The 20,420-nt window shown below is 45.6% G+C and overlaps 1 protein-coding gene across 1 annotated transcript in view, besides 1 other annotated feature; it reads right to left on the bottom strand.

The window, feature by feature from the left end:
• The window catches only part of MGMT (O-6-methylguanine-DNA methyltransferase), a 303,743-nt gene that overhangs the window by 32,646 nt on the left and 250,677 nt on the right, over positions 1–20,420 (bottom strand). The gene's annotated exons all lie outside the window — the stretch shown is intronic.
• Positions 18,974–20,173: an enhancer, noted in NCBI's record as "P300/CBP strongly-dependent group 1 enhancer chr10:131516429-131517628 (GRCh37/hg19 assembly coordinates)". NCBI's record gives its function as "activates an origin of replication core promoter dependent on BRD2, BRD4, P300/CBP, MED14 and CDK7 cofactors, with strong dependence on P300/CBP, by STARR-seq in HCT116 cells {active_cell/tissue: HCT116}" and the evidence as "EXISTENCE:reporter gene assay evidence [ECO:0000049][PMID:35650434]".

Here is a 20,420-nt window from a genome sequence, read left to right as displayed (position 1 = left end):
TTGGTGACAGACGGCACCTGGAAAATCGGGTCACTCCCACCTGAATACTGCCCTTTTCCGACGGGCTTAAAAAACGGCGCACCAGGAGATTATATCCCGCACCTGGCTTGGAGGGTCCTATGCCCACGGAGTCTCGCTGATTGCTAGCACAGCAGTCTGAGATCAAACTGCAAGGTGGCAGCGAGGCTTGGGGAGGGGCACCCGCCATTGCCCAGGCTTGCTTAGGTTAACAACGCAGCCGGGAAGCTCGAACTGGGTGGAGCCCACCACAGCTCAAGGAGGCCTGCCTGCCTCTGTAGGCTCCACCTCTGGGGGCAGGGCACAGACCAACAAAAAGACAGCAGTAACCTCTGCAGACTTAAATGTCCCTGTCTGACAGCTTTGAAGAGAGCAGTGGTTCTCCCAGCACGCAGCTACAGATCTGAGAACGGGCAGACTGCCTCCTCAAGTGGGTCCCTGACCCCTGACCCTCAAGCAGCCTAACTGGGAGGCACCCCCCAGCAGGGCCAGACTGACACCTCACACGGCCGGGTACTCCAACAGACCTGCAGCTGAGGGTCCTGTATGTTAGAAGGAAAACTAACAAACAGAAAGGACATCCACACCAAAAACCCATCTGTACATCACCATCATCAAAGACCAAAGGTAGATAAAACCACAAAGATGGGGAAAAAACAGAGCAGAAAAACTGGAAACTCTAAAAAGCAGAGCGCCTCTCCTCCTCCAAAGGAACGCAGTTCCTCACCAGCAACGGAACAAAGCTGGATGGAGAATGACTTTGACGAGTTGAGAGAAGAAGGCTTCAGACGATCAAATTACTCCGAGCTACGGGAGGACATTCAAACCAAAGGCAAAGAAGTTGAAAACTTTGAAAAAAATTTAGAAGAATGTATAACTAGAGTAACCAATACAGAGAAGTGCTTAAAGGAGCTGATGGAGCTGAAAACCAAGGCTCGAGAACTACGTGAAGAATGCAGAAGCCTCAGGAGCCGATGCAATCAACTGGAAGAAAGGGTATCAGCGATGGAAGATGAAATGAATGAAATGAAGCGAGAAGTTTAGAGAAAAAAGAATAAAAAGAAACGCGCACAGCCTCCAAGAAATATGGGACTATGTGAAAATACCAAATCTATGTCTGATTGGTGTACCTGAAAGTGACAGGGAGAATGGAACCAAGTTGGAAAACACTCTGCAGGATATTATCCAGGAGAACTTCCCCAATCTAGCAAGGCAGGCCAACATTCAGATTCAGGAAATACAGAGAATGCCACAAAGATACTCCTCGAGAAGAGCAACTCCAAGACACATAATTGTCAGATTCACCAAAGTTGAAATGAAGGAAAAATGTTAAGGGCAGCCAGAGAGAAAGGTCGGGTTACCCTCAAAGGGAAGCCCATCAGACTAACAGCAGATCTCTTGGCAGAAACTCTACAAGCCAGAAGAGAATGGGGGCCAATATTCAACATTCTTAAAGAAAAGAATTTTCAACCCAGAATTTCATATCCAGCCAAACTAAGCTTCTTAAGTGAAGGAGAAATAAAATACTTTACAGACAAGCAAATGCTGAGAGATTTTGTCACCACCAGGCCTGCCCTAAAAGAGCTCCTGAAGGAAGCACTAAACATGGAAAGGAACAACCGGTACCAGCCGCTGCAAAATCATGCCAAAATGTAGACCATCAAGACTAGGAAAAAACTGCATCAACTAACGAGCAAAATAACCAGCTAACATCATAATGACAGGATCAAATTCACACATAACAATATTAACTTTAAATGTAAATGGACTAAATGCTCCAATTAAAAGACACAGACTGGCAAATTGGATAAAGAGTCAAGACCCATCAGTGTGCTGTATTCAGGAAACCCATCTCACGGGCAGAGACACACACAGGCTCAAAATAAAAGGATGGAGGAAGATCTACCAAGCAAATGGAAAACAAAAAAAGGCAGGGGTTGCAATCCTAGTCTCTGATAAAACACACTTTAAACCAACAAAGATCAAAAGAGACAAAGAAGGCCATTACTTAATGGTAAAGGGATCAATTCAACAAGAAGAGCTAACTATCCTAAATATATATGCACCCAATACAGGAGCACCCAGATTCGTAAAGCAAGTCCTGAGTGACCTACAAAGAGACTTAGACTCCCACACATTAATAATGGGAGACTTTAACACCCCACTGTCAACATTAGACAGATCAACGAGACAGAAAGTCAACAAGGATACCCAGGAATTGAACTCAGCTCTGCACCAAGAGGACCTAATAGACATCTACAGAACTCTCCACCCCAAATCAACAGAATATACATTTTTTTCAGCACCACACCACACCTATTCCAAAATTGACCACATACTTGGAAGTAAAGCTCTCCTCAGCAAATGTAAAAGAACAGAAATTATAACAAACTATCTCTCAGACCACAGTGCAATCAAACTAGAACTCAGGATTAAGAATCTCACTCAAAACCGCTCAACTACATGGAAACTGAACAACCTGCTCCTGAATGACTACTGGGTACATAATGAAATGAAGGCAGAAATAAAGATGTTCTTTGAAACCAACGAGAACAAAGACACAACATACCAGAATCTCTGGGACGCATTCAAAGCAGTGTGTAGAGGGAAATTTATAGCACTAAATGCCCACAAGAGAAAGCAGGAAAGATCCAAAATTGACACCCTAACATCACAATTAAAAGAACTAGAAAAGCAAGAGCAAACACATTCAAAAGCTAGCAGAAGGCAAGAAATAACTAAAATCAGAGCAGAACTGAAGGAAATAGAGACACAAAAAACCCTTCAAAAAATTAACGAATCCAGGAGTTGGCTTTTTGAAAGGATCAACAAAATTGATAGACCGCTAGCAAGACTAATAAAGAAAAAGAGAGAGAAGAATCAAATAGACGCAATAAAAAATGATAAAGGGGATATCATCACCAATCCCACAGAAATACAAACTACCATCAGAGAATACTACAAACACCTCTACACAAATAAACTAGAAAATCTAGAAGAAATGGATAAATTCCTTGACACATACACTCTCCCAAGACTAAACCAGGAAGAAGTTGAATCTCTGAATAGACCAATAACAGGAGCTGAAATTGTGGCAATAATCAATAGCTTATCAACAAAAAGAGTCCAGGACCAGATGGATTCACAGCCGAATTCTACCAGAGGTACAAGGAGGAACTGGTACCATTGCTTCTGAAACTATTCCAATCAATAGAAAAGGAGGGAATCCTCCCTAACTCATTTTATGAGGCCAGCATCATCCTGATACCAAAGCTGGGCAGAGACACAACCAAAAAAGAGAATTTTAGACCAATATCCTTAATTAACATTGATGCAAAAATCCTCAATAAAATACTGGCAAACCGAATCCAGCAGCACATCAAAAAGCTGATCCACCATGATCAAGTGGGCTTCATCCCTGGGATGCAAGGCTGGTTCAATATATGCAAATCAATAAATGTAATCCAGCATATAAACAGAACCAAAGACAAAAACTACATGATTATCTCAATAGATGCAGAAAAGGCCTTTGACAAAATTCAACAACCCTTCATGCTAAAAACTCTCAATAAATTAGGTATTGATGGGACGTATCTCAAAATAATAAGTGCTATCTATGACAAACCCACAGCCAATATCATACTGAATGGGCAAAAACTGGAAGCATTCCCTTTGAAAACTGGCACAAGACAGGGATACCCTCTCTCACCACTCCTATTCAACATAGTGTTGGAAGTTCTGGCCAGGGCAATCAGGCAGGAGAAGGAAATAAAGGGTATTCAATTAGGAAAAGAGGAAGTAAAATTGTCCCTGTTTGCAGATGACATGATTGTATATCCAGAAGACCCCACTGTCTCAGCCCAAAATCTCCTTAAGCTGAAAAGCAACTTCAGCAAAGTCTCAGGATACAAAATCAATGTACAAAAATCACAAGCATTCTTATACACCAATAACAGACAAACAGAGAGCCAAATCATGAGTGAACTCCCATTCACAATCACTTCAAAGAGAATAAAATACCTAGGAATCCAACTTACAAGGGATGTGAAGGACCTCTTCAAGGAGAACTACAAACCACTGCTCAATGAAATAAAAGAGGATACAAACAAATGGAAGAACATTCCATGCTCATGGGTAGGAAGAATCAATATCGTGAAAATGGCCATACTGCCCAAGGTAATTTACAGATTCAGTGCCATCCCCATCAAGCTACCAATGACTTTCTTCACAGAATTGGAAAAAACTACTTTAAAGTTCGTATGGAACCAAAAAAGAGCCCGCATCGCCAAGTCAATCCTAAGCCAAAAGAACAAAGCTGGAGGCATCACACTACCTGACTTCAAACTATACTACAAGGCTACAGTAACCAAAACAGCATGGTACTGGTACCAAAACAGAGATATAGACCAATGGAACAGAACAGAGTCCTCAGAAATAACGCCGCATATCTACAACTATCTGATCTTTGACAAACCTGACAAAAACAAGCAATGGGGAAAGTATTCCCTATTTAATAAATGGTGCTGGGAAAACTGGCTAGCCATATGTAGAAAGTTGAAACTGGATCCCTTCCTTACACCTTATACAAAAATCAATTCAAGATGGATTAAAGACTTAAACGTTAGACCTAAAACCATAAAAAACCTAGAAGAAAACCTAGGCATTACCATTCAGGACATAGGCATGGGCAAGGACTTCATGTCTAAGACACCAAAAGCAATGGCAACAAAAGACAAAATTGACAAATGGGATCTAATTAAACTAAAGAGCTTCTGCACAGCAAAAGAAACTACCATCAGAGTGAACAGGCAACCTACAAAATGGGAGAAAATTTTCGCAACCTACTCATCTGACAAAGGGCTAATATCCAGAATCTACAATGAACTCAAACAAATTTACAAGAAAAAAACAAACAACCCCATCAAAAAAGTGGGCGAAGGACATGAACAGACACTTCTCAAAAGTAGACATTTATGCAGCCAAAAAACACATGAAAAAATGCTCACCATCACTGGCCATCAGAGAAATGCAAATCCAAACCACAATGAGATACCGTCTCACACCAGTTAGAATGGCAATCATTAAAAAGTCAGGAAACAACAGGTGCTGGAGAGGATGTGGAGAAATAGGAACACTTTTACACTGTTGGTGGGACTGTAAACTAGTTCAACCATTGTGGAAGTCAGTGTGGCGATTCCTCAGGGATCTAGAACTAGAAATACCATTTGACCCAGCCATCCCATTACTGGGTATATACCCAAAGGACTATAAATCATGCTGCTATAAAGACACGTGCACACGTATGTTTATTGCGGCATTATTTACAATAGCAAAGACTTGGAACCAACCCAAATGTCCAACAATGATAGACTGGATTAAGAAAATGTGGCACATATACACCATGGAATACTATGCAGCCATAAAAAATGATGAGTTCATGTCCTTTGTAGGGACATGGATGAAATTGGAAATCATCATTCTCAGTAAACTATCGCAAGAACAAAAAACCAAACACTGCATATTCTCACTCATAGGTGGGAACTGAACAATGAGAACACATGGACACAGGAAGGCGAACATCACATTCTGGGGACTGTTGTGGGGTGGGGGGACGGGGGAGGGATAGCATTGGGAGATATACCTAATGCTAGATGACGAGTTAGTGGGTGCAGTGCACAAGCATGGCACATGTATACATATGTAACTAACCTGCACATTATGCACATGCACCCTAAAACTTAAAGTATAATAATAATAAATTAAAAAAAATGCCAAAAAAAAAGAAAATGTGGCATGTGTACACTATGGAATACCATGCAGCCATAAAAAAGGATGAGTTCATGTCCTTTGCAGGGACATGGATGAAGTTGGAAACCATCATTCTAAGCAAACTATCACAAGGACAGAAAACCAAACACCGCATGTTCTCACTCACAGGTGGGAACTGAACAATGAGAACACATGGACACAGGGCAGGGAACATCACACACTGGGGCCTGTCGGGGGGTGGGGGGTTGGGGGAGGGATAGCATTAGGAGAAATACCTAATATAAATGACGAATAGATGGGTGCAGCACACCAACATAGCACATGTATACCTACGTAACAAACCTGCACATTGTGTACATGTACCCTAGAACTTAAAGTATAATAAAAAAAATTTAAAAAAGGAGGAGCCCACAACATATCAGGCAATGTGAGTAATATTTTAGAGTAAAAGAAATGGACTTTTTAGAACAGAGATTCTCAAAATGTGGTCTAGGGATCATCAGGGGTCACTGAGACCCCTTTAGGGGGTTTGTGAGGTCAAAATCATTTCCATAGCAATACTAGGATGTTATTTGCCTTTTAGATTCTCATTCTCTTACAGGTGACAAAAGAGTTTTCTGGGGGCTACGTGATGTGACAACACAACGGATTAAACGCAGAGGCAGATCTGAGAACCCAGCTGTCTTCCACTGAGGCAGGCATCAAGGCATTCCATTCTGCAAAAATGGACAACAGTGCCACTCTCCTCAAGTGTCTGTCTTGGAAAACTCATTTCCAGAAGCATATTACCTATGATATCCTGCCATAGGTTTACTGTTGTTATTTTTAAATAAGTTAATACATTTAAAAAGTCTCAGGGCAGGGCGTGGTGGCTCAGGCCTGTAATCCCAGCACTTTGGGAGGCCGAGGCAGGTGGATCACAAGATCAGGAGTTCAAGACCAGCCTGGCCAAAATGGTGAAACCGCAACTCTACTAAAAACACTAAAATCAGCCGGGTGTGGTGGCGGGTGCCTGTAATCCCAGCTGTACTGCTTGAGGAGGCAGCCGGCATATGCAGGGTGTATGAAGCTGAGGCAGAAGAATCTCTTGAACCCAGGAGGCAGATGTTGCAGTAAGCCGAGATCGTGTCACTGCACTCAAGCTTGGGCAACAGAGCGAGACTCCGTCGCAAAAAAAAAAAAAAAAAAAAAAAAGTCTTAGGTTTAATTTCCAATATGGCAAATGTGCACAATATAGCCCTTATCATCAAAAGCTCTTTGGGGTCGTCAATCATCTTAAAGAGGGGTCCAGAGGAATCGAGGGTCTGAAGGGTTAATTTAAGCCCACTCTGAGCCCGACCGGGCCTGGCAGGGCTCTGTGTCACACATAGGAATGCCCCGGTAGGCTCCATCTAGTCCTGGGCACGCCAGAACACGACCTCAGAGCTCACCTGGAGGCCAGATTATGCTACCAGCCCTCGGAAATGGACCTTCCTCCTGGCTGAAGTGTGGGGCGCCTAGTGACAGTTTCACCTAGGAGGCTCGCTCCTGGAGGTGAGGCACCACATCCTTGAAGCTCCCCCAGAGGCGTATTTATACTCACTTTCCCAATACTTAGAGCCTCCTAAACTTATTTAACAAAAGAATTATGCCTAAGACTTTAAGCACAAACTTAAGGAAGCCTACAGAGAAATGATTAAACTGTGACTGTCCTGGTATGAATGTGAATAATTATACATTAACACCCTTTACCATTCAAATAATTGTCATTCAGCTCAAAGCTGAATAACTGACTTCTGAATAGGTGCTAATGGTTTCTGAACAATAGCAGAAATAGAATCATGCTGTGCAAAAAAAAATCAGAGGAGGGCAGGGCAAGCAGGACAGCAAGTGCTCAAGCACATGGACCTCAGCGCAGTCAAGGTATCCCTGAGGTTAATTATAGAAGGGAGGGAAATCAAGTCTGAGGAATTCTGCGAATTTCATTTGTCATCCTCATGCCTGCAAACCTCGCGTCTGCTCTGCTGTCTTTGGAGCACTGGCTTTCTCTGCCTTCCCTTAGAAACACGCCAGACCTTGCAGACACAGGATGCTCTGATTCCTCCCCAGCCTCCTCTGCAGTAGAATGAATACGCACGCTCGCCTCACACAATCCCAGACTCACAGGGCACAACCTTGTTATCGAACAACATGAAAGTAGAAAATCTGATTCCAGATGACACATTATCAATGCATGCAAAACAATAATGTCCCTCGTCTTGCCCAGAGTCATTAGGGCCAGCATCAGTTCACGTCTTCCATTTGTTGGTTTCACTGCAGTTGGTAGTGAGTTTCAGCTCCACGCCATTTCATGCTCAATGCGCCAATGGTTGCTAAAAACGCACTGACCTCCCCAAAGAACCTAAGTATGTAGGCTGCCCCTCTCAGCCAGTACAGGAACTCCTATTTGTTCATCAGAAACATCTAGAAGCTTCTTGCTGGTGTTCAGAAGGGAGGAGAAGTCGTGCTGGCTTTACCAGTAGACACTTCACGCTGCTTCTACAAGGCTAAAAATAAGCTGCTTCCCAAACTAGGGCAGTACCCCATCCACCCCACTGTCCACGCCCAGCAGACACCTCATATCAACACCGTCTGACTGTGTTTCAGGGAATGCTGACAAATCTAAGGGGGTGGGTGGGTCTGACTGCTCTCCACCCAGGTGGCTCCTTGAGCTGGTCTGAAGCAGCCCTGAGCTCTGTTCAATAATTTTCCATTGATCATCGTGCTGCTGCCGCCATTAGTTAACTTTTGAAGACCAACCCAACGGAAAGGAGCTGGGCCCTAAATTTCTTAATGAATTATTCTTTACCACGGGACACGGATTATGCCACGCGGCAGGCATATCATTACTGACAGAGCTGTCAGAAGGACGGGCAAAAGGAAACTGGCAAGCTTTAATTTCTCTGCAGAGAAATGAGAAGCTCTTTGGGGATTAATCTCAGTATCAACATTGAGCCCCTGCCTCGGGGCAGCTGAGGAATTCAAAAGGAGCTGTGCCTGGATTTTGAGTGATGGAATCCGGCTCCAACGGCACAGCTGACTTTGGTTGCTCACCTATTCAAATGAGGACGAGAGGCACGCAGGTGAGGCTGGCAGCTCGGCAGGACAGGGACACGCAGGTGCCGGCAGGGGAGTGGGACAGGGAGGCCAAGGTGCTTGCAAAGTCATTGAGGGCAGAGGGGCCAGGCTAGCAAGACATTGCGACCTGCTGCTCTCCTGGCTGGGACTGGGGTGCAAAGGTGCCTTCCCTGTGCAGTGGGTAACACCATCAGACACAGCCCGTGGGGCCCTTTCGTTTTTCACACGAGGCACGAAGTTTGTCCCCTGAAGAGTCCATGCTCATCCTGTTACAGAGGATGAGCTCAGAGGGTCTCCCTGTCCACTCAGGTCAAGAAGCTCTGCACCCTCCAACTCCTTGGGGTCCCTGGCACAGTCTGGTCCCCACCCCTCCCCACCCAGTGGCAGGGGCCCCATGCCAGGGCCATCTCCCTTCAATGCGGGGATTTCTAAGGTCACTAGAGAAAGAGCCTGATGTCTTCTGGAAATATGGATGTTCCAAGTTCAGGCTCACGTGACATGGGGAAAAGACCCAGTGTGGGCATGTTAAGATTTACCAATTAGTCCCTTTATTAATTTCTTATTCTTAATAAATATTCTGTGAGCAGCTACCTCGTGCTGACCTTTGTGATGCTGGTGACGCTGATGGCGATGGGAGGCGGGGGCATTGGGGCTGGCATTCAGCAGTTACCACAAGCAGACGAACCAATACCAGGGGGACAGAGAACAGGGGGTGGTGGGGCACACAACAGGGACCATGGTCAGGGAGGCTTCTGGGGAGGCAACGCTGGTGCTGAGACCTGCAGGCGGGCAGTGGCGGGAGGGCCTATGGCTGATGCAGGTGGAGTGTGGCTTGGCCAGGAGGAGGGGCATGGGCAAGAGCCAGGGAGCAGCACATGCCACACAGCGGGCCATGAGAGGGCTGGGTCTGACCCTGATAGCGTCAGGAGACCAAGCAGAATTTACAAGTGAGGATGGCATAATCAGGTCCTCTTCTGCGACCCCTGAACTCCCCCAAGGCAATCACCACCATTATGGACCCTGCGGGGTCCGCCCCCTTGGCCCCTTCCTCTGGTCACACCACATCAGCCATCACTGGCGTCACCCACTCCCTATGCTGCCTCACCTTCTTCAGCCTTTTTCTCACCCACTTGTATGGGTTCATCGCTCACGTCCATGCCACTGACCCTAATCCCTAACCTTCCCATCTCTGTCATTCTCAAGTGACTGCTGCAATTCCCAACTCTATGCCAAAATGAATCCCTTCTTCTTCTTTTCCCTGCCATCCACGGTCACAGCTGCTTCAGGTCCCCCTTGTCCCCTGGTGCTGGCTCCATGTCCCCTCCTCCCTCTCTCACCCAGCACCTGGACAGTCCAATGAGTCCTGTTCAAGTCCAGCCTGGCTCCCATCATGCCTTGAGTAGCTCCTCACTGTCCCCCAGTGAGACCTGATGGCCTTCTTGGCCTGGAGGGAGGCTGGCAGCCCCTCCTCACACCCTCCCCTGCTCCAGCCAGAAGGGATTGCTTGCTGTTTCACACACAGGCCCAGCCTCAGTCTATGTTGTTTCCCCTTACTCCATGTGTTCAAATCCCATCTACCTCAAAGTCTGGTGCAAATGCTACCTCCTCCATGAAGTTCTCCCCAGCCCACACAGCTGAAGGCTACCTTGCTGCCTGCAGTGCTGGCTTACCCGGGGCTCCTCATATACCTTTCTGGCAGCACCAAGCCCAGGCATTCTTGGGGGATGCTGCGAGTCACCTTTGCATCTCCTACAGCATTTGTACACAAGAGACAGCCAAAAACAGCTGGAAGGAACAGAGGGCGGGTCTTCACAGTCTGTACTTTACACCAGAGGAAAGGACAAGGACCAGCTATGAAAGGAAGTGTGATGAATAAGTAACTACTGGGGAGTGCCTCACATCTTGTGCCAGTCACTACAGACAGGTAACAGATAATCCCCAACTTCGTGGCCCCAAACAACACAAATGACCTTTCTTTCATGGCCTTGAATTCAGAAGGGTCGGGCTCAGCAGTTGTCACTTGGGGTCTTCTGCATAGCTGCACTCATCCGAAGGCTCGACTGGGGCTGGAGGATCTATTTCCAACAGGGCTGACTTCCCTGGCTCCTCACCACATGGGCCTCTCCTGGGGCTGCCTGTATGTCCTCTGACATGGTACTGGCTGCCCTCACAGCAGGTGACTGAGGACACTGGGAGCTGCAAGGCCTCTTATGACCTAGCCTCGGAAGTCGCACACCATCACTTCCTCCATATCCTGCTGTAGCTTGGGGCCAGACCTGACTCCATCCGAGAAGGAACAAGAGTGGGAGTACCAGCAGTGAAGCTCACTGGGTGTCACATGGAGACTGGCTAACCCATGGCTCTTCTCTTGATAGCATCATGGTATTTCAGAATTCAGCAGGGAACCCTGGGCCAAATGTCACAACTTCATCTATGACTTCACTGACTGACTCTAGTAATACCAGGTATATTACACCAATCTTAAAATCAGCTCCAACAGTTTTTGCAACATCTCCCAAGTTCTCAAAATTAGAATTAATTATCTAAAAGCTGGGCAGATGGACTTTAAACAGTAACAAAACCTATAGTGACAGAAAGGACATGAGGACAGGGTCTCCTAAGTCCCCTTAAACACCACTACATTCCCATTCAAACTTAGCAACTTAATTCTGATGCTTTTAATTAGGTCAAAACTCCATGACCATATTATGGAGTAGGGGAAGAGTGAGAAGATTTTTCATTTTGAGCAGCAAAGAGACAAAACTGAAAATGACTGATATTTAAATTTACAATATCAAGTTTCCATGCATCACTTAAAACTTTAAAAAGTGTCATATATACATGATCAGAAGTTCAAATTCTTCCAAAAGATCTGTGGAAAACACCAATGCCACTGTTCCTGCTCAGTCTGCGTGAGGCTGCTCCCTTCTGGTGAAGAATCAGACAAAACACTGAATGTGACCTGGGGTGGAACCTAAGACCCCTCAGGGCACGTGGGCAGCAGTGATGCTGGAGAGCGTCCTCACAACACCCATGGGCGGGCAACCCAGGACTACAGTAGCTTCAAAACCAGCTCGTGTTCCCAAGGACAAGTCTCGCCTGGACTCCACCTGCACGTGGCCCTGTGCCATCAAGGACCTGGCCAGCAGAGATCTTCCCAGTAAATTTACCCCTTCCTATGAGCTTGCATTCTGGAGTCAGAAGGACCCAGGTTCAAGTCTCATCTGTGCCAAGGATCAGCTGTTGGAGCTCAGTCACTGTCTAAAGTTGAGTTTCCTCCACTTGGATATGAGGATCACAAAGCACTTGGCAGAGGCCCCGCCACTTGGAAAGCACTCAGCAAGCAGAAGCTACTCATGGTCCCTCATTGCACTGAGAGTCTGGAGCTGACCTTGTGGACCTGAGCCATGGCCAGGCTGTGTGACAGAACACACTCCTCTCCCAAGGCTCGTTCTGTGAGAAGAGGGAAACTGTAACGCAACATGGTATTGGTGGAAGATGAAGGGAAGTTTCAGCTAAAGAGAAACTGCCCCAGGAGCTAGAAGGGGCTGGTTGAGAAGGCAGAACAGGCTACAGTGCAGACACGTGACAGCAGAATTGAACCCTAGGCTCCTGATCCCGGTAGTTTACATGGAGGACCGTGGAGCCGACTCCTCTGCCTGCAGAAGCCCCTCACTACTGCTAAGGACAAGAGTTACGTGGATGTGTGAGCTGTGCTCCTCTTGAGGGCACAGGGTGCTGCTCCAATCTGGGCATCTGCATCCTGCAGGCTGTAGCCTGCCCAGAGCATGGACAGACCTCCGAGGAAGTGGGCAGACCCCAGCCCTGGGCGGCACTTTGGAAAGCTGTGGCCGTGCTGGGGCAATAGGCATGCCATGTGCACAAACTCAAACCACCACCTGGAAAAGGTGGAGAAGTTGACACAATGATGTTTCAGGTCCAGGAACGCTATTAATTTGACATTCTAAGTAATGAATCTCCATGTTCCATGACAGCAGCAGGCTGTGGAAATATTAGAGAAAACACTCCGTAATTAGATAACTCTGCCTTCATCATTTGATCCACGGCTACTGACATGGAACTTCGGGCCAGACAGGGCAGCGCTGACCCACATGCCTGGTCTAGCAGAGGGGATGGCAGCGAGGGGCTGGGCAGGGTCTCTGAGGATGGGCACCCTGTGCTCCACACACAGGTGAGAGCAGCTGCCTGGGCTGTGGATTCTGTGTGTCTTCCACTTGCGTGGAAGCTGGCTGGACAGGGACGGCTGCAAAGCTGAGTGCAAGGCTGCAAGGCGACACCACACTCACCTCCCAAGGCCACTCGCTTGGCTGGAGAGAAGAAGAGTAAGGCAACAGTGTCCAAAGGTCTGGCCCAGAGGCTTCCTCTTCCTGTCCATCAGGTCAGTGTATCCACCCGATCCTGCAGGGCTCTGGAGAGGACCGGGAGGTCCACTGACAATTCACAGACCTCCCAGACTCACCCTGCCCTCCAGGTGCAAACTGAGAGTGCACTCAGTATCTCGCTGAGGCCATACTAGGTTGTATCTTCACCATCTGGGATAAGGAGGCCACAGTTTTCATGATCTTTCCCCCAAATTTGCTTTCAAGGAATAAAAATCCATAATATTTACTATTTTCCTCCAACATATTATGAAAAACCCCAGCCACATAGAGTTGGAAGAGTTTTACAATGAATAGCTTTATACCTCAGATGATATAATTGACATTTTAGCCTGTATTTGTTTTTATCATATATCTATCCATCTCTCCACCCCATATCCATTTTATTATTATTTTTGCTGCATTTCAAAATAAGCTGCAGACATCAGTGTACTCTCTCCAAGTCCTTCAGCACATATACCATTAAGAGTTCAATGTCCATTTATGGTTCTTTTTTCCTTTAAGGTGGAATTTACACACACAGTGAAATGTACCATCTTCAACATCATTTGATGAATTCTGACAAACACAGATAGATACCTATGTGACCTAACCTGTTAAGATATAGACCATGGCCGTCATGGTCTAGAACATTCCCTCATGCCCCTTCCCAGTTTCTCACTGCCTGCACAACCCCAGAAGCAGTTCCTCTTCTAACTTTTCCCTATCCAGATTGTTTTTGGCAACTGCAGAGCTTCAATAAATATAATCAGAGGCAGGCTCTTGCTGTGTCCGGCTCCTTAAGCTCAGCATGACGTTACCGAGACTCATCCACGAGGCTGTGTGTGTCTGTGGATTATTCCTTTTCAATGCTAAGTTCACAGATAGGAACAGGCTCTACATGGATATCCCTCAGGTAATTTATCCACTTTCCTACAGATGGACATACAAGCAATTCCCAATTGCAGCAATTATAAATAAAGCAAGCAAAGCTGCTGTGAACACTCTTGAATACGTTTTTGTGGACGTAGGTTTTAATTTCTCCTGGATAAATGCCCTAGAGTGGAATTGTTGGGTAGCGGGGTAGGAGAACACTTAGTTTTATAAGCAGCTGCTAGACCTTTTGCAAAGAGGTTACAACATTTTAACACCCACCAATGTATACGAGAGGCGAGGCTGCGGCAGTCTCTGCGACACTTGGTGGTGTCTGATCTGAGCTGCCCTGGGATATATGCAGATGTCTTTCACTGTGGTTTTAACCTGTACTTCCCTAATGACTGATGATGCCGAGCACTTTCTCATGAGCTCAGGGGCCAATCTGTGTATTATGTGTCTTTGCGATGAAAATGTGAGATATTTTGTCCAGTTATTTACTGGGTTGTTGGTCCTTTTATGGAGTTATCAGAGTCTTCATATACCCTTCTTAGAAGTCCTTTGTCAGATATGTGTTTTGTAAAAATTTCTCTCATTCTGTGGCCTGTTCCTCATTTACTTAATGAAGTCTTTTAATAAAGTTTAATTTATTAATAATTTCTTTCATTGTTTTTTATTTTGGTGTTATAAGAAATGTGTGCCTACCCAAATCAGAAAAATACTCATGTTTTCTTCTAAGAGCTTTAGAGTTTCAGCTTCTCCTTTAGGTATATGATATAGTTCAGATTAATTTTTGTGTATGGTGTGAGGTCAAGGTCATGGTGAATAATATTTATCTGAAAATGGTTATCCACGGGAGCTAAGCTATGAGGAGGTAAAGACATAAGAATGACACAATAGACTTTGGGGACTCAGGGGGAATGGTTGGGAAGTGGGTGAGGGATGAAAGACTACATATCACGTTCAGTGTATACTGCTCGTGTAATGGGTGCACAAAATCTCACAAACCACCACTAAAGAACTTACTCATGTAACCAAATACCATCTGTTCCCCAAAAACCTATGGAAATAAATAAGTTATGGAACAAATTTCTAACCATTAAAGTGATCTGAAAATGGAATGGAAAAAAAAATGGATATCCAGTTGCTCAGCACCATTAGTTGACAAGACTTTTTTTTTTTTTTTTTTTTTTTTTTGTGATAGAGTCTTCCTCTGTCACCCAAACTGGAATGCAGTGGCATGATCTCAGCTCACTGCAACCTCTGTCTCCTGGGTTCAAGTGATTCATATGCCTTAGCCTCCCGAGTAGCTGGGATTACAGGTGTGCACCACCATGCTTGGCTGTTTTTTGTGTTTTTAGTAGAGACAGGGTCTTGCTATGTTTGCAAGGCTGGTCTTGAACTCCTGGCCTCAAGTGATCCGCCTGCCATGGCCTCACAAAGTGCTGGGGTTACAGGCGTAAGCCACCATGCCTGGCCAACAAGACTTTACTTTCCTCATTGATCTACTTTGTGTCTTTCTCAAAGATACAAGAACTGAAAAAACACTGGTCTCTCTCTCTGTTGCACTGTTCTAAGTTTTGATCCTTACTGCAGTGTCTTGATTACCACAGATTTGTAGGAAGTCTTGAAACCAGGTAATGTAAGTCCTACAAATTCATTCTTCTTTTTCAAGATTGTTTTAAATATTCTAGGCTCTTTGCATTTTGAAATAATTTAAAAGTGTGACTGAACTGAATGCAGAGGGCAATTTGTGTAGATGTGACCTCTCCGTAACACCGCCTCTTCCAATAACTAATAAAGATCCATTTACTTAGGTCTTCTTTAATTTCTTTCAGTCATGTTTTTATGCTGTTTAGTAGAGAGGCCTTGCATATCTTTAAATAATAATCTTTAATAATGCTAATGTTAAATACATAAAGCAACTGTTTTATAATTTACTTTTTAATTACATTATATAAAAATAGAATACATTTTATGTTAAAATTGTATCCTCAAACTTCTCAAATTCACTTATTGGTTTTAATAGTTATTTTCAACATTATTCAAGATATTCTATGTAAATAATTATGTGATCTGAAAATAAATACAATTTTACTTATATCTTTCTGTCAATGTATTCCTTTTTTTTTCCTTCCATCTTTACATAGGACTCTGTCATCATTTTACATTATTTTTGTCTAGTAGAAAATATATAACAGGCTCTGGCTTTTTAAACCAGTCTACTAATCTATGTCTTTTTATTTGAATCTTAAAACATTTACATTTAATGTAATTATTAATATGATTGGGTTTAAGTCTGCCAACTTGTTATTTTTCCCATCTGTTCTTTGTTCCCCCTTTACCCTATCTTCTTTTACATTTTAGCATTCTAATATGCTAATTCTAATAAAAGAATTAGCATTCTATTTTATCTTTTCTGTTGGCCCATGAGCTATAGATTCTGGTTATTTTTACTGGTATTCTAGGATTTTTAATATGCATTCATAATTTATCAAAGTCTGCCCTTAAATATTATACTTGTTCATAAAGTAAGAAACTTAGAACAATGTATTTCCATTTCCCCAGTCTCATCTTCTATGCTATTGTTGTCATATGTTTTCCTTCTACGTGTATTATAAACTACAAAATACATCTTTATTAACTTTATCATGAACAGTTAATCATCTTTTAAATAAAATAATAGAAGAAAATTTTCATACTTGTCCACATATTTTCTAGTTCTAGTGAGGTTCACTTATCTGAAATTTGTTCAACTTATAGTTCCCCAATAGTTGTCTGGTTTCATGTGGTTTACAAATGCATGTATGACTTTGTAATCTGCAACAGACTCAATGGGATACCATGCAGACCTCTGGAATTCTTTCTCTGTATAGTTCCCTCTTCTCGCGAACTCCGCCCATGAATTCCAGCCAGCTGGAGCACTAGGGCACACAACCTAGAATATCTGTAACATCATTAGTTTTAAAGGCAAAAACTTCAGAACCCAAATGTCTACTGACAGAAGGGAAGAAAACAAATTATTACATCACCTGGGTGGCATATATATGACTTTGTCCTTTATTATTTATACCTCGTAAGTCAGTTTTGAATACTCCTTTGTCCAAAGTAAATATTTCATAATAACGAAACTATCAACTTGCCATCAATGTGCTCAACGATTACTCTGAATGTAACTCTTGAAACCGCTACCCTTCTCATCCGATAACATATGATTGCAAATGTATTTATTTACATATTTTTCTTGCTTTTTTTTTTTTCCCCCTGACATTTAAATTTACAACAGAAGAGGGAAGAGGAGAGACCCAAGCGTTTGGGGTCCATGCCCTGAGCTCTCAGTAGGGGCAGGGAAGGCCCATTCAATGCTCACTCTCAAGAGAGATCCAGGTCCAGGGACATTAAACAAAACTCTGAAAATGGGTTGACATTTTGCTTATTCATTCGTTCATTGTCACAGCATTGGCAGGCACTGCTCTGAGTGCTCAGACAGAGAAGAAAGCTCTCCGGCCCCAGTTTCAGGAGCACATGCTAGCAGGGTGCAAATGCCAACCTGCAGTGCACCAGTGACTACCACAGTTGAGTCAGGCAATCTTTAGCTGTGTGCTCTTTGCCCCTCCATTCCCCTTACTTGCTGCCTTCCTAAGAGTCCATTTTGTCCATAACTGTATCCATAGCATATCAGAGAATGCCTCCTGGTACTCAGGAACCAGCTAGTGCAGAGTGAAGCACAGAGCAGACAGCCCGGTGCTGTGGGAGGGTTGGGGGAGAGTGACCCTGTGGGCCCCCAAGGCCGCGAGGGCTGTGCTGAGCCAGGAGGGGCCGAGGCTGGCTCCCCAGACCCCAGTGACCCCACTCCAATCATGCTTACCCTCTTGCAGCAGCCTACATGGGCACACGCTTTGAACGTGTCATCCCAGAGTGCAGGAGTCCCAGCAGGCAGCCATTTATTGTGGCCTAGAGCTTAACAGTGAGTAGGGAGAAGAAATAATGGTTGAAAAATGTTCTTTTCTCAGTTACAGTATGAATTGGCTCCATTCATTTCATGTGGAGATGACAAACCAAAACACTCCTTCTGAACAGCTGCGGGGCTATACCAGCCACACTTCCTGTAACTCGTACACATAGCAAGCAAGGGCGGAGGGCGGGCGTCCTTGGGAAGTTCTGTTGGCTGCAAAGAGCAGCACTTCCTAATAACGGCCCAATCTTCCCTGAGTTCCAAAGGACCAGGTGGAGTCAGCTGTCCTGACTTGCTAACTACCACTGGGATTTTGGAGAAAAGACTATCTGTGAAATAAGCAGGTATTTCTTTTGCTGACTGTTTGGTGGCCTCATTTTACCCTCATGACATTTTACACATTGTTACTACTGTCCCCACTTTACAGACAGATAATCAGAGGCTCGGAAAGGGTGTTATGGGCTAAACTATGTTCTGCCAAAATTCGTATGTTGCAGCCCTGACCCTCGGCATTTCAACTGTATCAGCAGATGGGGTCTTTAAGAGGTGAAGAAGTTCTCATTCGGTTGTTCAGGTAGCCCTAATCCCATCTGACTGGTGTCCTTCTAAGAAGGGGAGATTATGATATAGAGACCCGAGCGATGCACGCCCAGAGGAAAGGCCTAGTGAGGACGCAGCAAGGAGACGGCCATCTGCAGGGCAAGCAGGACAGCCTCAGCACCTTGGTCTGAGTAGCTGACACCCTGCCGCACCTCGGTCTCGGACTTCCAGGCTCCAGAGCTGAGAAAGATTTCTGTTGTATAAGACCCCAGTTGGCATCACTTTGTTTTGGCAGCCTGCACAGATCAATACAAAGGCTAAGAGTGTTTCCCGAGGTTGCCCCAGCGCGCACCAGGCAACCACACAGCATGTGCCAGCTAATGGCCCTGACACAAGAGTAGGGCCCACATGGTGACAGTATATCTGAGCAGGCACACGGACTGGCTCTAGACAGCCTGGGAAGGTGACGTACCTGAGTGGACACACGGACCAGCTCTAGACAGCCCGGGAAGGTGACATGCCTGAGCAGAAGGTGACACGCCTGAGCGGGCACACAGACCAGCTCTGGGCACCTCGGGAAGGTGACATGCCTGAGCAGAAGGTGACACAGCTGAATGGGCACACAGATCGGCTCTGGACAGCCTGGGACGGTGACACGCCTGAGCAGGCAGACGGACCGGCTCTAGACATCTCAGGAAGGTGACATACCTGAGCGGGCACATGGACCGGCTCTAGACATCTCAGAAAGGGGACACACCTGAGCGGAAGGTGATGCACCTGAGCGGGCAAACGAACTAGCTCTAGACATCCCGGGAAGGTGACATGCCTGAGCAGAAGGTGACATGCCTGAGCAAGCATACAGACTGCCTCTAGACAGCCTAGGAAGGTGATGTGCCTGAGCAGGCACGTGGACTGGCTCTAGACATCTCAGAAAGGTGACACACCTGAGCGGAAGGTGACACGCCTTAGCAGGCATGCAGACTGGCTCTAGACAGCCCAGGAAGGTGACACACCTGAGTGGGCACATGGTCCAGCTCTTGACAGCCCGGGAAGGTGACACTCACCAGGAGAGGACAAAGGAAGGGCAGGAGGTGTGTCTGGCTTCATCCCTCAGATCCTGGAAGACCCATGAAGAGAAGTGAGAAGGTGAGGGGGTAAGTGACTGAGAGCCACAGCTGCTCAGAGACACTCACTCTCGGGTCAGCTGTGCAAGCCTGGAGTGAAGAATTGCCCTTCGAAATGGAGGGCAAGCAGGGCCAGGCCTGACCTCACTTGCCCAGGGTGGGGGTGGGGGGCAGCCACCACTGCCCGCACTCAGCAGTGCCATTCTCTAGTCCCCTTGGTTTTCCTAACTATACGATCAGACGGAGCTGCTGGATTCCACAGGTCTCCGACACAAGGAGACACCTAGCCCGAAGCGCCACTGCCTTCACAGACTGTCACTGCATGCCAGGTCGAAGCCTAAAGCTCCCTGTGCACATTCAGCAGATGAAGCAGAAGAGATGAGCTTTGCCTTGTAGCTCTGGTCGTGTAAATCATATTCATCTTCTAGGGCATTAGAAGTCCTGGCCTTAAAACCAAGACATTATCTCAGAGGCCAAACCAAAGTCAAGTGTCCCCACGTTGGGGTCGTGCTGTGGTCAGCTGGCTAACACAGAAAGAGCTCTGTGTGTCTCTCACAGCACATGGGTTGACAGAGAAACATCCTGGGGGCAAGGCCAGATTCCATTTCCAAAATCACCAAGGCCAGCCCCGCAGACCAGAGCAAGGCAGGAGCTGTGGGCACCGTC

Source organism: Homo sapiens, chromosome 10 (genome assembly GCF_000001405.40).
Source record: "Homo sapiens chromosome 10, GRCh38.p14 Primary Assembly".
In the NCBI taxonomy this organism is placed as follows: domain Eukaryota; kingdom Metazoa; phylum Chordata; class Mammalia; order Primates; family Hominidae; genus Homo; species Homo sapiens.
This window is presented reverse-complemented; position numbering and strand designations above follow the sequence as displayed.